Genomic DNA, 18,410 nt, shown 5'->3' with positions numbered 1-18,410 from the left:
AAACCCACACTATTCCCTAGACACACCAGTGAGCAAGCCTGGCCTAGATCAACTGAGCTCTGTGAACATGTGAGAAATAAATGCTTATTGTTTTAGACCATTGAGTGTTTGAAAAGTTTGTCATGCAGCAATAGCTGATACAATGAGTAACTCTGACTCAGGCGTGATTCCACATCGGAGATAACATTGGAATATAAGCCTTTTTTGGTTAGGCCTGTGTTTTGTCAGTTATAAGGAAAAGATGATAACAAGTACCTTAATTAATCCCCAATCATGTCTTCTCCATACTGAAAACCAAGACATTCATATGGTATGTATAAATATCACATATATGTTTAATATGTTTAAATCAGATGACATATACATATTGGAGAACATACATGTGGATAGATAGTTATAATTATTGTTATTGACCACACATGGAAGAGTCAAAGAGGACAGGCAATCTCTTACATACTGCATTTAGACAGAGACGTTTGGGGTTGATTCTTACTCACTTGTGACTGTTTCTGTTGGATAAGTTGCAGCACCTCATGGGTGAGCCGGTAATCTTTGGACCGAGCATCAGTGAAAACATAGATGAAAGAACCAGGAAGAGAAATTTCCAAGGCAATTTTTATAGCTCCAATACTCATTTCTGGGCAATCACCACCACCCTGTTGAGTGGAGAGAAAAATTCAATTACGTCATCATCAAAAACAATTGAATATTTTGGTTATAACAAGGTGCTTTGGGAGTTTTAGAACGAGCAAGTTTTCCTTTTTATTTTCTGTCAGTTTGACACTTTGTTCAAGAAGGGATGGAAGATATGTAAAGTGATATGAACTAGAAAAATGTGTACTTAAGGATAAGTTAGAAATTCACCCAAAACACACAAAATAATAGCTATATATTTATAAAATTAAATGTCTATTCACTCTGCCTTCTCTTACACGATGATCTCATACACCCCCTCTTCTCTTACTTTTTCTCATTCTTATTTGATGACCTTGCTTATTGTATTGAGAAGACAGAAGCAATCAGAAGAGAATGTTCATAAGCTCCCACCACAATACCTGTTAACCCATCTGCAGAAGCAGCCAGATGCCTGCCTTAATCGTGAAGCACTTGCTTGCACTCATGGCTATGGACCCATGGCTAGGGCTAACTACTCACCTGGGAACTAATCAAGGTGATCTCTCTACTCCATCACACTCTTTACTAAATCATTCCAGCATGGCATGTCTCCATACTCCTTCAAACTTCTGCTCACTTCATACCTGCCAGAGAAACTTTCCCTGACTATCTGACATAAAATGCATTCTGTTTGTCATTCTTTTCACTCTGACTCTGTTTCATTTTTCCTATTAACCTATAATCTCTGTGTTTTATTTTCTACTTGAATAGGCTCAATATGTTTTCCTAAACAAAAACTGTTCCCATCCTCAGAGCAATTCTTGTCACATTTATTTCCTTCATAATTATGTGGATTGGTACATGAAATTGTGAGTTTGCTGTATTTACACTTTTATACATTATATTTTAGATTCAGAATTATATCCTGTTTGTTTCCATGTCATCAGCATTGTTTAAAACCACAGGTTTGAATAATGGCATAACATTCTATTATGTCTATATTCCATACTTTAGTCAACCATTTCACTGCTGTTGAAATATTAGTGCTCTTTCAAATTTTACTTCTCCATTATAAATGGTAGATAGACAAACAGACAAACTGATAGCAATAACTATAGGGCCAAGGGAATGGACTTTTGATCAATATAATTTGAGCAATTAATACATAATTGCTGAACACCCTGCTGAGATTTGGGCATCCAACAACAAATAAGCTAAAATACCTTGTCCTGAAGGAGGTCAGGGCCTAGAATAAGCAATCACATAAAAAGCAGGGCAGCTTGGGATCATGTGGGCTTTATGGCAGCAGAGTGCAACAAGTAAGAGCTCTTTCTCAGAAAGAAAATAGTTATTCATGAAAGGAGTAAGGCTTTATCATTAAACTCTGGAAATCCTATTTGATTTTCCTATTGGGTCTTTCAGCAGGCTCCAACAGTCTCATATTCTGATACAGATACCGTGAACACCATAGATCTAATCAGGGTCATAAGAACCAAGTATTAGAATAGTTTACAATGTAGCTAGCCTGGATGAAGTGGAGAATCTTTTCTTGTACTGGATCCCGATCAAAACTTACAGCCTTTGAGCATTATTTGTTAAATAGGTTGAAACAGAGCATCAGCTGTTAAAAATTGACTCTAAAACTGAGAGACTCATTAAATATTAGGTCACTTTCTTAATTGCATGGGGCTAGAAGATGTAGTAACCTGATCTTCACTTTGGAAAATATACCAGCCATAGATTCCCCAAAATGTTATCGAGTTAGCAGTCCTTTCTCTTTTTGCAGAACTTATCTCCTACCTCCTATCACTTATATGCATTTTTGAGGCATTTAGTTTAACAAATAACACCGCTCTCAACAACTAGTATATTTGTATCTTTTGACCATACTTATCTCTCAAGTTCTAATTTTACATTTTCAATTTCTTGTTAGACCTCTATTCCTGGGTGTTCTATATGCCTCTCCAATTTAGTGCATTTAAAACAGAACTCATATTTTCTGCTGTGTCATCCCTATTTTTGTTAACCGTGCTATCTGCATAGATATTTGGTTTCAAAACCTGAGTCATTTTTGACTCCTCCTTCTTCTTTCATCTAATCAGTGGTCATTCATTCGACTTCCATAAATCTGTCCCTTCCCTTTCTCTTCACTTCCCACTAGTCACTTTTCTTATCACTAATTTTATTACATGTACAAACTCCTATCTGATTTTCTGCTTTTCCTTCCACTTAACTTTATTTTGCCTGCAGTAAAGAGGTATATACATCACGTTCCTACTTAAAATATTTCACTACTTGTGTTGGATCAAATAATCTTTCTATCTTTCTATCTCCTGTTGCTCCTTCTCCACAAATTGCTCCCTTTAAGCTGAGATTCTTTTTTTATAGAATTTTTAATATTATAAATGTTTAATATTGAAATAGGGAATTTTTAATATTCCCCTTGCTTCACACCTTAATGCCATAACAATTTTCATTCAAGTAGTCTTTCTACTGTTCTATCTCTACCATTAAACACTTCTCAACAAAATATGCATGTCTAAATTCTTCCATTATTGTATAAGCTCACTGATGGCAAGGAACTGTGCTTTGCTGAGTCCTTGAATCCTCAGTTCATAGCACAGTGCTGGCTTAATCACTGAGTAAATATTTTTCAGATTAAACTATTATCTCACAATGGTTGAGATAATATGCCTTCCCCTCTTTAAAGCTTTGTTTCCAGTCAAATGTGCTTACTCACTCTTCAGATGTATTCTACTATGCTTTACACTTTAGTGGTACTTAACATATTTCCTTTGCATAACAGTTATTTGGAGGGTTATCATGTGCAACAATGACCTTGAATGAAAATTTATGTAATAGGAAAGTGGGAAATAGACAGACATGTTAGTAATTTTGGTATATTGGATAGAAATAATCTTTACTTGCAGCCAATTTTGTATAATCTGTAATGGATATTCTGGGATGCTCAAAAAAATTTAAATTCCTATTGTATATTCAGAAGCTTAGAGAAAAACATTCCTCAACTGCGCATGACACTGTGCACCTGAGTGTGAACCACAATATAATTTATCCATTCTACAAGCATTTGTTGAATGGTCAAGTACACAATACAACTCCATGGTAGTATAATTCTAAGGAGAGATTAAATGTCTTTTACTAATTGTCATGTGTGTACCAACACACTAGGAGAAGTTTTCTGTCTATGGGCCAAACATGAGGACAGCTAAGAAATATCTGAAGGCACATATTAGGAATAGAAGGAATGATAAACCTTGTCCAGTTATTGAGTGAGAGATCCTCTCTGAGCCGTTTGACTTGGGTATAAATTTGCCCTAAGAGGACCTATAGATGCCTACTTCCCTAGGAATCCTGAAACATTACCCAGGAGTAGACTGTAGAGACCACTAGAATCCTTGAAAGGACTCCAGATGAATTAATCCCATTGGAATCTCCCAGGAACTTCAAGCTCAACCTAAAATTGAATGCAGCCCTAAAAAAATCATGTACTGAAATAGGGTCTCTAAGACTACAAACATTTTTCAGCCTATAAATTTGAATAAAGCAGTTTAACCACATATTAATAAAATCAAGATGGTCAACAACCTTTTCTGTAAGTATTAGAACCACCTTATTTTCCTGGAAAAAAAAAGCCACTTTGTGAAACATTGGAGCTTTATGTATATGAGGCTTAATATTGGTTAATAATCAAAGGAAAGAGTTTGGTGAGCTGACACAACTAAAACCCCACAGAGAATTTCACAAATATCCTTTTATTTCTTGGACTTTTATAATATCATATACTCTAAAATGAATTATTTGACTTTTATGAAAGAACTAACAAAAAGTCTCAAAGCAGCCAGGAAAATTGGAGAATGTCAAGTAAAAAGAGAACATTTTAAGCCAGGCATGGTAGCGCATGCCTGTTGTCCCAGCTACTTGGGGGGCTGAGGTGGGAGGATCCTTTGAAACCAGGAATTCCCTTCCAGCCTGGGCAACATAGCAAGCTATCTCTTAAAAAAATAAATAAATGTTTAAAAAAGAAACACTTTGACTCACACATGTCAGAAGCCAAGACTGGATGTGCTTATATATCCTTTAGGAGTGCTCTATGCAGCTTAATTATATTTTTCCTGCTATGGAAATCAGTGCAGTCTTTATAATAAAAATGACTATTCTGCCCCAAATTTCACATTTGCAATATAATCTGCAAACACAGATTATATTGTAATCATATTGATTATAAGTGTTCTCAGGAGTAAAATTCTTCAAAAAATAATACAGTATATTTAAATTATTACCTTTCTGCTTCTAGCTAACTGAAAATTAAAAGTAAATGTTAACTAATAATTCATATCTTAATAAAGCTATGTGTTTATCTCATTGTGGATAGAAGGTCCTGAAAAGAAAAATAAGCTTATTCTTTTTCCAAAAGAAGTTAACATACAGTATTATCTTGTTATAAAAGCTCTCTATCTGATATTTCAGTTCGGTTTTCTAATAATTTTAAATCACAAGTGGCCATTAAAATGATCTATGAGGCTGGGTGCAGTGGCTCACACCTGTCATCCCAGCACTTTGGGAGGCTGAGGCACACAGACTGCCTGAGCTCAGGAGTTCGCGACCAGGCTGGGCAACATGGTGCCCTGTCTCTACTAAAATAAAAAATTAAAAAAAAAATTAGCCAGGCATGGCAACATGTGCCTAGTCCCAGCTACTCAGGAGGCTGAGGCAGGAGAATTGCTTGAACCCAGGAGGCGGAGGTTGCAGTGAATCGAGATCGCACCACTACACTCTAGACTGGGTGACTCCCAGCGAGACTCCATTTCAAAATAATAATAATAATAATAAATAAAATGATCTATGGAAGAAATGCTTTACCTCTGCACTAACACAGTAGCCACTACCTGGCCTCATGTGGCTATTAAGCACTTGAAATGTGGCTAGTGAAAATGAGAAACTGAATTTTTAAGTTTTATTTTAATTAAAATTTAAATTAAAAAACTAAAGCAGTGCTAATTTTTATATTGATAACATATCAAAATATTTTGGATATATTCAGTTAAGTAAATAGATTATTGAAATTAATTTCAACTTCTTTTGAAATTACATACATAGTTCACATTATTTGTTGGACAGCACTACTTTAGAATGATACATTTGATTGACTTATGTAGACTTAATTTTAGACTGTTAATTGTAAGGTTGTTGCTTTGATTAAGTCTTTCATGAACTTTCTTTCCTGGCAGAAGTTATTAGAGGCAAAATTTAAATTGCTTTAATTTACTAAGGATCAAGAATCAAGGTACAACTTACTCCAAAAATCTACAAATTATTCCCTTTGCTTATACACACACACACACACACACACACACACACACAAAGTTTATAAACAAGGATTATATATATACACACACATATATCAAACTTTATCATATATGTATACATACACACACACACACACACACACACACACACACACACACACACATCTTTAACCCACTGGTTTCTTTATAGTGTTTCTCTCAAATCATCAACGGACTTTCTGATCTTTCAGTTTAGCTTTGGCAGAACAGGACTAGGCTGCAGAAGCATTGCTAAAATTGTTCATTTTTATAAATAAGCCTCACAAAGTCAGAGACTGTAGGTTGATTTGTGTCAGCTGATTTAAAAATTGGAAGTAATGGAAATGTGACTGAAACTATAAGAACAAACTCTTGTAAGTTTTATTTCCAAACTTAAGAAAAAAAAATTACTGCTGGCCAGGCATGGTGGCTCATATCTGTAATCTCAGCAGTTTGGAAGGCCAAAGAGGGCAGATCTCTTATGCCCAGGAGCTTAAGACCAGCCTGTGCAACAGAGGAAATCCCCGTCTCTAAAAAAAAAAAAAAAAAAAAAAAAAAAAAAAAAAAAAAAAAAAAAAATTAGCTGGGTGTGGTGGCATATAGGCATATAGCTGGCACGTGGTCCCAGCTACTCAGAAGGCTCTGGGTAAGTGGAGACTGCAGTGAACCATGATTATGCCACTGCACTCCAGCCTGGGCTACAGAGTAAGACTCCGTCTCAAAAAATAAATAAATAAATAAATAAAATAAATCCTTTAAACGTCTGCCGCAGTTTCATTTTGACCTGAATACCAAATAGAAGAAATGTAAAATCATAATCCATAAACATTTATGATGGAAGAACTTACAACTGAAGAACTTAAATCTATAGAAGGTCTTCTTGATTTAATCAGTACTTTTCTCGGTAATAAGACACTTTACCTGTGTTAATTCAATAAATGTCTACTCTGAGCCAAGTGCTGAGAGAGTATTGTCACAAACACTATGTTATTTATTCTTTACATCAATGGATAAGGTAAGTATCACTTTTAACATGTTTTATTGACGGAGTACTAACTTCTGAAAATCCTTTCTCAGGGTCACACAACTAGTAAGTGAAAAAGCAGAGATTTGAACTTAATTATGCCTGGCCTGAAAATTCATGCAAACTCCTGTGAGGCATTTTATTATCTTCTTGAACTTCTGTGACTATAAGCAAGTAGCTTTCAGAGACACTGTATAATCAGAGGAAGAAAATTCCATTCTTCTAGATACCTACAGAATATTGTTTATTCTTCTTTTGTGGTATTCAATAAGATGTATTATAATTTATATTTCCTCCTACTAGATCTCTGTTTTTTGAAGTACTTAGTAGGTGTTCCATTGTTGTTTGATGAATGAATGGATAAATGACTAGTGAGTACATGGGTGAAAGATTTTGCAAAGCAATCTTGACATATTCGAGGTACACTTAACATACTCAGCCTGAGCTTGACTTAAGCCTAGCCCATCCCATTTCGAGTAATACAATTCCAGAACTAAACCTTCTAAAAGTACAAGTGTATAAAGCTAACTCCCCCTATGTTTGATCTCTCCCCCACACCCCTCTCTGTCCTGGCATACAGTCAGGATGAATAATCAACATGATAAAACCAACATGGCTATGTAAATATATTTCCTAAAACCACAGAAACATGCACACACACACACACACACACACAAATGAAAGGTATAATGGAGATGAACTGTATAATGCATAGAATTAGACAGCTCCCTAAATACATTTTAGAAAGGGTCTGAGTTTGTTAACCTGTGCTTTTATTTGAACCCTGAAATATAGATAATTAGTATCAGTATGCACAGTCCTGCTCAATATTTTGATTGACATTTTATCTTTATAATTCTACTGATACCTACAATTTACTAAATTGCCAAAGACCTTTCAGATAGAAAAACGTGTACTAAGAAAAACAGAAGCATGTGAGCTTTCACAGTAAATGTTGCTCCTGGAATAAAAAATATTTTTAAAAAACTGTAACTTCAGAGTTACGGTGATAATTATGTTTACAAAATGAATTCCTGGAAAACAAGATTAAATAAGAATGAATAGAAATCTTATCATTCAAGGGAGTAGTAAAACACAGATTATCTTGCTGTCTTTTCTAAATACAAGACAGTGTAGGAACGGCACTGGAATAAACTGAAACTTTAAACTGTGAGAGGAGTTGGAAAAAAAATGAAGTCCCTGTTTGAATCCTAATGGGAAAATCTACATCAAATGATGGACCAGAGAGACCCAAGAATGTTAATCTCAGAGCAAGCATGCTCCCATGCCTTATCATTTATCTTCTAGTCAACCTATTTCAATTCTTCTATTCTCGTCTTTTCATTGAACTCGTTTTTATATCAGTTGTTTTCCAGATGCCTAAGTCTAAGCAATAAAAATTGAAACTTTTTTATAGACTCATGACTAAGTTCAAAATAATTCTTATTGGCATTACAATATTTACCCTTATTCTAACATGAGTATAACCTACTAGAGTTTGCGCTTAGTTTCAAAGTCAGACTACATCCTTTTCACAGGGAACACCCATGTGTGAAATGTCTTATTTGTGTAATCTGTCCCTTACCTGTAAAATTTAGGTATGCAACTCAGTTTCAAGCTGAACAAAAAAAAATTTCCTTTTTTTTTTTTTTTTGAGACAGGGTCTAGCTCTGTCGCCCAGGCTGGAGTGCAGTGGCGCGATCTCACTCACCGCAACTCCACCTCTGGTGCTCAAGAGATTCTCCTGCCTCAGCCTCCCGAGTAGCTGGGATTACAGGTGCCCGCCACCATGCCTGGCTAATTTTTGTATTTTTTAGTAGAGACAGCGTTTCACCAGGTTGGCCAGGCTGGTCTCAAACTCGTGAACTCAGATGATCCACCCACCTCAACCTCCCAAAGTGCTGGGATTACAGGCGTGAGCCACCACGCCTAGTCTAAAGCTGAACAAAATTTTACAACTCTCAGCTCTCTTTCTTAAAATACAGTTGTGCAATTCTTTTACCAAGAAAACAGGATGTACATGTGAAAACCATTAAATTACATTGAATCAAATTTAAAGTTGCATCGAAGCAAATATAAAACAAATTAGAATAATTACAGAGTTCGTCAGTGACATGTGCTGGCTTTTATTACTTGTAGAATATATTGCAGGGATGTACTGAGAGACAATCAGAATATTGCAGAGCCCAAACCTCAAATCTCCAAAATCTAAATAAAAGATGTTACATCCCAGACAGTCAAACTATGCTGCTCTTTGCTACACATTCACTGATGACCAAACAAGCTCAAAGAAGGTGAAATCCAAATTAAAGCATCAAAGAACTGCTGACCACAATTCCAGGCACAGTAAAGGTAACAATTACAACAATGTCCATGCTTTCAGATTATCACCTGTCACTGGTAAGGATTTAACTCATCGGCAACTGATCTTTCAACTCGTTGGACCTTCTTTCAAGGGAGCTAGTAGAGCTTAGGTGGGTCTTCAGGGGACATGTTTTGTTGGGTCTTTGGAGAAGGTTCAGTTTGCTTCAAATAAAATATTTATAAAAACTGCACTATGTACCAGGCACTCAATATCTTGATTAGCAAATTAGAAAATGTTGTGCCTAATACATTAAAAAAAATCAAAAGTTTCATAATTCACATGAGTTATAATGGACAGTAAGTGGTCCTTTGAAGAGGGAAATAGGATGGAGACAACCAAGAATAAAAAGAAGAAGCAGGCAGGGTTAACCGTAGGCAAAAATGGGAAACTAACAAATTATATCTCAGTATTCTCAGTCACCCTTCAGTAACCATCCTCTTCTCAGCTTCTTAGAGAATTCTTTCTTACCCTCTTCAAGGATTCGGTATCTTTTTATTGTGACCTTCAAAATTAAGACACTGCCATTGCCCTGGTTGGAATGGATTCCTGGTCCCACCTAACAAGTGGTTCCCTTGTTTGCTTAGGGAGCAAGAGCCAGAGGGGGCAGGGACAGGGTCTAAGAAGGTCTTACTAGCCAATCATCATTTGCTTATTCGAGGAGGAAGCATTCACCATACCTATACTTGCTCTGAGCAGACCTTCTTGCTCCCAGTTCTTCCTCTCTTATGATCCTTCTCTGTTTTTCCTCTCTGCTAGTCAAGACTCTACCTAGCCATAGAAATTTCTCTCTTCCTTCTGCTCCAACACTCACATATGGATTCTGCATGCCGTCTAGCACATTTGGTATTATCTTTGTTATTAGCTAGTTAATGAAGATTGGAATGCTGTGATTATTTAATGTGGTAAAAATATATTTATACTGCTTGTGTAATTTCCTCTCTTGGCAAAATGGAAAAATGCATTTTTACTAATAAAATCATTATGATTTACAAAGACATCACATTATAAGAAAGTTTGAGGTACGCAAATTTTACATTGTTTTTAGTAGTCATTTAAAAAATGATGAAATAAGATCTTAAAGGCAATGACTACATATATGATAGAGCAAATAAATCAGGATTTTAAAAAATCACCATGAATATAAAAGGATAGAGACCTAGTTTAAACATTTATGTAAGGAAACCTGAGGGACTTAGCTGATGACAGAATCAGTATTCAATAATGTAATATGCCTGCCAAAGAAAGCTGATATCAGCCTCCAGCATTAAAAGAAGCTCCCCAGACATTGCTCCATAGGAGTCCCCCAGGTATCATCTGGTGACAAAATCCAGTGCTATCAAATCTTTAACTAGTGTTACTCAGGTCTGGGGTACTGACAGGTTGCTGGAAGGGATTCCAACATCTGACGGGGTAACTGGACAAGTGATATTCAAAATCAATTCCAATACTAGGACTCCACAATTCTCCTGAATTTTTTTTTAAGGTCTAGGAATAAAAAAAGATGCTTTCGGAGAACTAACTGCTCCTACCCAGTTTGGATAGAGAAAAAATTCTAATTTTCCTTTATGTCCATTTCACTGAAAATGAGTTTGTTTTTTAGCTGCAGCTGCTAGCAACTCTGAAAAAATGAGATTTATAGTTTTCTCTAGGAATCCTGTCTGTAGATCAAGGACAATTCTCCCAAGGAAACTGTTTTGATCTCCATCCTTACCATCACCTAAAAACTAACAAAATCAGATTTAGTACTTATTGTGGGGAATAGAACAATCTGTTGGTTGCCTAAGCAGCACATATGGATTGAATCCAGGCATCATAGTTTAGTGTATTCTTTCTCTTAAATGTTATTTGGCCACAGGAATCTGCAATATTTGCCACGCAATGACTCATGTATTTACCCTTAAGGATATTCCCATAGATGCACACTTTTAAAAGAAATTCAAGAAATTTCCCATTATAATATCCACCCCACTCTAATCACCTGTATATTCCATTTTGAAAAAGTAATCCAACAGTCAAAATAGCCTTCAATATTCTTTGTCCTTTGAAGTTTACACAAAAGATCATTACAATATCAACAACGTATTTGCTTCTGGATAGGGTACCTAAATGGATACCTAAAAAAGGGTCAAACATTCCCATTCCTGTCCTCCACTGTCTTGTCGCAGTCTCTATTCCTTGTTCTCTGGGGATGTAGGATGGTTTGTCCCTCAGAGAATTCTTTACTCTAGCAGAAACTCTAATAGAAAACTCGAACTGCAAACTAAAGTTTTAATAGATGCTTCATTCAGGCCCAAAGGAATTTCAACACTAAACATAAAAATCAAAACACTACCTATGAATGTACCTACAGTAGATATAGTACCTTTCAATATCTTAAACATATTTTGTTCTTGTTTCTCCCCAAAGTGTGCATGAGTTTAAATAAGCTTATCATACTTAGTACCAAGAACATTTGCTGAGGAAAGCCAGTGATTTTATTATTAACTTTGTCATTTGCTACTTGGTAATTTTTGGTGGGCCAGTTACTCAAAGTGATTGGAGATAGGAATGAAGTAAAAATATTTGAGAAATAAATTCATTTTGTTGAGGATGAGATCAGCCCTAGACATACATCTGTCTTTAATTCTTTACTTTCCTACTTTGAAGTAACATACAAATTATATAAATAAATATGTTAACTTGATTAGATCAATAAGGTTATTTAAACAGATATTTAGAAGGAAAGTAGCGAAGCAATAAAGGAAACTGGCTTTGGCATTAAATACCTTATTTTGAGACCAGCTTTGCTACTTGCTATTTTTGTGACCTGTGTAAGACATGTTACCTAATATCAAAAAGCTTGAGATTCCTCATTTATAAAAAGAAATAGTAATATTTATGTGAGTATAAATTGAGAAAATGATTTTAAAACACTTGCAAAACCTTTTGCAAGGCACATATTCCAAAACTGTTGCTCATTTACAACATAAATATTTGGGGATTATTTCCCTTAAAAGAACTTTGGAGTACTAGAGCTAGTAGTAGCAATAGATAACATTTATTGAGCCTGTACTTTGGCCACTGTTCTGCTTGAAGGTTTATGCATACTATGAGTTAAATGCCTTATCATACTTTCTTCCCTAAATTAAATACAAGCCAGTCCTCCTTTAAAGTGTGTGTGTGTGTGTGTGTGTGTGTGTGTGTGTGTGTGTGTGTGTGTAGGATATTTGTAAGCAAATGCATATTATGAAAACTTAAATGGAAATTAAAACTGCTTTTCTAAGTTGAATCATGTCTAATCATGTCCAAAAATGAAAATCAAACCTCTGATAGCTCTACATTATATCTATGTCCATGATGACATATAATGCCTTTTCTTTCCTTTTTTGGTTTATTTTTAAAATGTATTTGCTTTCTTCATTTGTCTAGCCATATATGTTTTTTTAAAATTCATATGGAAGAATTCTCTATATATCTAGAAATTAAAGTTACAGTTTTATACAATAGCATTTTTTTAAAAACTAGAAATTAGATAAAGTGTATACACCAAATTGGCATAGTAAATTATTCTTCTAAAATCATCATTATCTTGTTCTCCTCTTTTTAGCAGTCTTTGCCTATCTGAGGGTATTTCATATTCTCCTTAGACAGTTAATTCTATCAACTGTTCTTCTATAGAAAACATTCTTTTTCCCCTAACCTTAACCTGCCGAAGTTTAAACCCATTTATTCTCCTGGACCTCACCCTATCATCTTCATAACTCTATCATGTTGCTATGTGACAATGCTTTTCCAGATATTTTTAATCATATTCCTACTTTTTTAAAAAGTCAATTTTATTAAAAGACTTTACTAAGGAAACTTAAATTATATGTAAAGCTTTTGATTTGGGGGATCAACAATTTATACAAAAGTTGGCATTGTAATCTCATTATTGTAGAAATAACTTGGTGTTTTGAGGGGTTGTGTGTATGTCTGTGTGTTGGGGGGGGTGTGTGTTTACACTTTGAATGTTTGACTAATATACTTTCTGTTCTTTAAAACATTTGGATAAAAGGCTTGAAAGCATATCACTGCCAATACCATTTTCTAAAAATCAACAAGCTTTATAGTTTCTTATAAAGAATGTGTCCCAAAGCAAGGCTTTGCACTGCATATTTACGAGGATATTAATTTCCAAAGCTCTGTGTGATTTGAATACCATTTGTTGTCATTTGTCTTTCCTTCTTTTCCCCAGAGAGAAAGCACAGTTGTTTTCAAGTTACTTCTCTGTATTCCAGATGAAAGAGGATAAAGGAAAGTGAAATTAATGGTACAAATTTAATAAATTAAGTGTAATAATTTTTTGCTAATTTTTTCCTGGAAAATTTTAGATTGCTTTTTCTCACGTTAATTCCATATCTCTAGAAGAAAAATAGCCAAGCCTGCTCTAATGTTAATGGATGATTAATGCACTTCAAACTGAATTTACTTCTCATTGTTTTCAAAACCAATTTAAATATGAAAGGAATATTTTTAAAGGTTTTCTTTTTTTAAAGTTCAAGTTAGTTTAATAGGATAACAATACTTGCTTCTTTTGATATCAGTGATTTTGTGGGAGTTACTAAAAATGGCAGAAAGGGAACTGGAGAAGGGTTTGAAAATCATACATAAAACAAAATTTTATATCTCATACTAAAATTTTAAGAAATTTGTGAGATATCTCAAACTGATTAATGAAATAATAAAGTATTCTATAAGTAAACACTGAACAAAATATATCCTTTAGTTTAGTGTTAAGTGATGATGTAGACTAGACTTTTCATGTTTAACCTTTAAATTTTTTGTCACTGATTTAAGACAGAATAATTCACTAGAAACTTTGAAAGTAAAAACACTTCTGTGGTATTCCCAATGCCTGTAACAATGCTTAATGTTGAATGAAGGGAAAAAGTAAGTATTTGATTTTTTTCCCTTGCTGGTTGTTCTAATTAAGCATCCTTTTGGATCCTATGAAAGTGCAGAAAAGGGGAGAAAAAAAAAAGAAAATCCCATAAGATAAAGCCTGTCCAGGGGAAACCTACAGAGAAATAGACCCCAGCTTTTACTGCATGGGAGAAAGAAAGAAAAATTATTTTTCTGAACAAAGGTAAAATTATATAATCTTATAGAGTGTCTGTATCAGATTCAATTCCAGAGGGTGGAGGGAGGCCTCTGCAGAGGCAGTCATGGAGTATGAGTCAGGAATCAGGATCCTTCACCCTGGAGTCAAACAGAGCAAGGAGGATCAGGGCACTCCCTATAGATCCTTCAGAACAAAAGAAGGGGACAGGCAGACAATCAGGAAGCCTGTGCCAGGTCTCATTGACAAGGTAGGTATTTTCATTCTGGCCAGATTTTCAAGAATATAAGAGTGTATTGTCACGGAGGAAAAAAAAATGAATACAATAAATGCCTTCCTAACATTCTATCTGCTAGAAATTCCCATTACTTGGCCCTTCTGATTCTCTATAAGGCAATAAAAACTGATGGTTAGGTTTTTCGGGTATTTTCTGTACCATCAAGTAAAGTTTAAATAATATTTGATACAGTTTTACTGTTAAATGTACATTTTTAAAAGAAGCCACCTCAAATGGCACTCATTTATTCAACAGCTATTGAAAGTCTACTCTACTGCAGACACTGGTTTATCTTCCAGATGAAGCACAGGTTAATACGAGCTACAGGGCTCTTGTCCTCAGGAACTCAGTGCAATAAGGGTACATGAAAGCATTTAAACAACCAGAACAATGCAGTTTCTAATTTCCAAGATCCATGAATATAATATAAGTTTCTAAGGAAATTTTTTTTCAGAGAATTTGGACATCCAAAGTGGCAAAGAATTTTTGCTATATTGAGGCAGAGAAAAGCAAATAGTAAATAAGTAGCAAAATAATGACTGAAAAAATGCCGTGGTATAAGAGAAAGGAAATGGAAGACTGTTGGTGAAAAAAAATGTCAAAAAAAATCCAGTAACAGAGAAAAATAATCAAGAGATAATTATATAAATCTATTTAAATATTTATCAAATACAATTCAATTTAGTATATAATTTACAAATGGAGACATGGACAAAATAGAATCACCCTTGAATACACATTTGGAATGCCAAACTTCCAGTTTCATACCCTATGCCTCAATTATGCTCATTACTATGTGCAGATCCGAATTAAGTCATTTATCCAACAGTGAATCGATGACAGTATTATACTTCAAACTCTGATTTGGACTCTGTTAATCTGCATATTCTGGTATATTCATTCATTCATTCATTTATTAAAAAGTGAACATGTTCTATATGCCAGTCCTTTTACTGGGGTATTTAATAAGCTAAATTATACGCAGTCCTTCAATGTGAACTCCCAACTGCTTTATGACAGAGAAAGGTAGTGAGAAATGACCCAGCCAAGAAAATAGGGCAGGATTCTCTGAGGAAGTGGTATTATTTAAGATGAGACTTTGAATACAGGATTTTAAACTAGGTTAAGGGAGTGTGGAAATGAGGGCAGACTGAAAGACAGGAACTCTCTGTGCGAGAACAGCATGTGCAAAAATGCCCTGAGGAGATGGGTGGGGATACAGATATGGGGAAGCTCTATGCAAGGCCTCTGCAGCAGAGTACAGAGCCTAGGAGAAAGAGTGGCACTAGATGGGAATGAAAGGTAGGAAGGTCTTAGATCACTCAGAACCCAGAACCATAGGAAGAATTTGATGAGGTGTGGGTAAAGAGTCAAGTAGATATGGTACAAGGCAGAAACTTTCAGAGCTGTATTCTGAGATCCCTTTGTCTGCAGAGTAGAGAAGCTAGGCCTGGAAAATAGAAGCAAGAATAAATGCAAGAAAATCCCTTAGAAGATTTTCTGCATTTGTTTAGACTAAAGATATGGTAATTGGGACTCAGATGGTGTCAAAAGAAATGGAGAGGAGTCAATTGATTTAAAAGGTATTTAGAAAGTTACAAACAACACTTACTAACAGTTGGACTGACTATAAGGGGTAAAAGTGCAGGGTGTATTAAGGAAGTATCCAGATATTTGGCTGGGTAACCAGAATACTATAACATCATTCACAAAGGTAACAAGGAGGAGACAAAAGCCAAGGATTAAGGACCACATTTAGGGTACTGGAAAAAGAACATTCATGAATTTCATTTTAGAAGGCCATTGTGACATCCAAGGACTGAAAAGAGGGTCTGTTCCTCAGGAAAGAGGTCAAGGCTAAAGCATATTTACATGGTATGGATGATTTTACCTAAGGAGAGGATAGAAAATGAGAAAACAAAAAGGAGCCAGTTTCAAAACCTTGAGGAACACCAATACTCAATGGCCAAGTGGAAGGAAATGAAGTTTCCTAAGAAGTTGAGTAGGAAAAATGAGATTAAAAAATGAAACATGGATGAGGGAACAAAGTGTGTCAAGCAGGAGGGAGAGTCCAATGTTGTCAAAGACTACAGAGATGTCTATTCAGTATGATGAGGACTGGAGCATTTCCATTGCATTTAGCAAAATGGATATCACTGGTCACTAGCTAATGCTACTTTGATACAGTGGGAGGAATGGGAACTAGATTGAAATAGATTGAAGAGTGAATGGCAGAAATGGGAGTAAGGAAATGATAGCAGTGAACATAGACAATGCGGTTGGCATTGAGGGAATTGAGAGAATAGAAATTATTTGTAAGAGAACTTGAGAAAAATACTGAAATTTTTTGTTGTTTATTTTGTTTTGTTTTTTATGGTTTTGTTTGTTGGGATTTGTTTGTATGTTTTTGAGACTTGAACATACATATTTAAAAAACAATGAAAACTTTTTTTTTTGCTTTCTTTTGGAGACAGGGTCTCATCCTGTCACCCACACTGTAGTGTAGTAGTATCATAATAGCTCATTGTAGCCTCGAACTCCTGGGCTCAAGTGATCCTCCACCCTCACCTTTCCAAGTAGCTGGGACTACAGGCATGCACCACCATGCCTGGCTGAATTTTTTTTTCTCTTTTAGAGACAGGGTCTCACTATGCGCCCAGGCTGGTCTCAAACTCCTGGCCTCAAATGATCCTCCTGCCTTTGCCTCCCAAAGCAGCACTGGGATTACAGGCGTGAGCTACTGTGCCCAGCCTCAATAGGAACTCTTTAACAGTTGAGAGAAACAGTTTGATAGTGTTAAAATCCCAAGAAAGCCAAGGAATTGAGATCAAGTGAATAAGGATAGGATAGGTGCTGGATGGAAATGGATTATATGTTACATATGAGGAAGCAGAGGGCTTCATTTGTTTGTGACTGTGTGTGAAAATGAGGTCACTTGCTCTGAGTAGATCATCTGCTGAAATAACCAGTAGTAAAAGGGTGGTGAGATATAGGTTAAAAGAGAGTGAATAAGATTTGGAATTGTCATTGAGAAGAAAGGAAGATTTTATTGATCAAACAAACATAGTAACATCATGGGAGTATTAAGAGTCCATTTGAGTTAGGTGGCTATGAATTCACCAGAGACTCAAAGTGTCATGTTGTGAAATTTCAACCACATTTGGCCACTCGTGGATAAGCATGAATAATGCAGACAGTTGAGGTCATTCAGGAATGAGGTTATGCCTTTTGAACAGAAAGGCAATGGACAAAGGAGAAAAAGCAGTGTTCAAATGATAAAAAAAAAACTCTAAGCTAGATTAGAAGAAGTGAAAAATAAGAAATCTGATGGCCTGGGAGACAGTGTAGGGGTCAGTGGACTGGAGTGCTTGCTGAGGGTAAGGGAGTGGTTGTAGTGTAAAAAGTTGCACCAACCCGCTCAGTGCACAGGTAATTGTTGATTAAGATGTCTGAATTATCTAAGAGAGGAAACAGATGATAACAAGATCTAGGGGATGTTTGTGGAAATAGATGACTAAGAGAGAGTAAAGAAAAGGTCATTGAAGATAACTTGTAGGTCAAGGAACTGAAAAGGGACTATTCTGACTAGGTCATTCTCATAAATGTTGAAGTCACTCAGAATAATGGCAGTCCTGGGGAGGAAAGGCAGCCAATGAGGCAGGTACCGATCGCCAAAATGAATGATGGAAAGTGGCCAAAAAGTC

General features: G+C 35.5%; 1 protein-coding gene across 4 annotated transcripts in view; it reads right to left on the bottom strand.

Annotated features, from left to right (window-relative positions):
- HMCN1 (hemicentin 1) overlaps positions 1-18,410 on the bottom strand; it is a 456,559-nt gene that overhangs the window by 325,824 nt on the left and 112,325 nt on the right. For all 4 annotated transcript variants that reach the window (NM_031935.3, XM_011510038.4, XM_024450118.2 and 1 more), the window contains exon 3: positions 498-656. In NM_031935.3, coding sequence (NP_114141.2) covers positions 498-656 — 159 coding nt within the window. The remainder of the gene's footprint in view (positions 1-497; positions 657-18,410) is intronic.

Source organism: Homo sapiens, chromosome 1, assembly GCF_000001405.40.
Source record: "Homo sapiens chromosome 1, GRCh38.p14 Primary Assembly".
Taxonomy (NCBI): Eukaryota; Metazoa; Chordata; class Mammalia; order Primates; family Hominidae; genus Homo; species Homo sapiens.
This window is presented reverse-complemented; position numbering and strand designations above follow the sequence as displayed.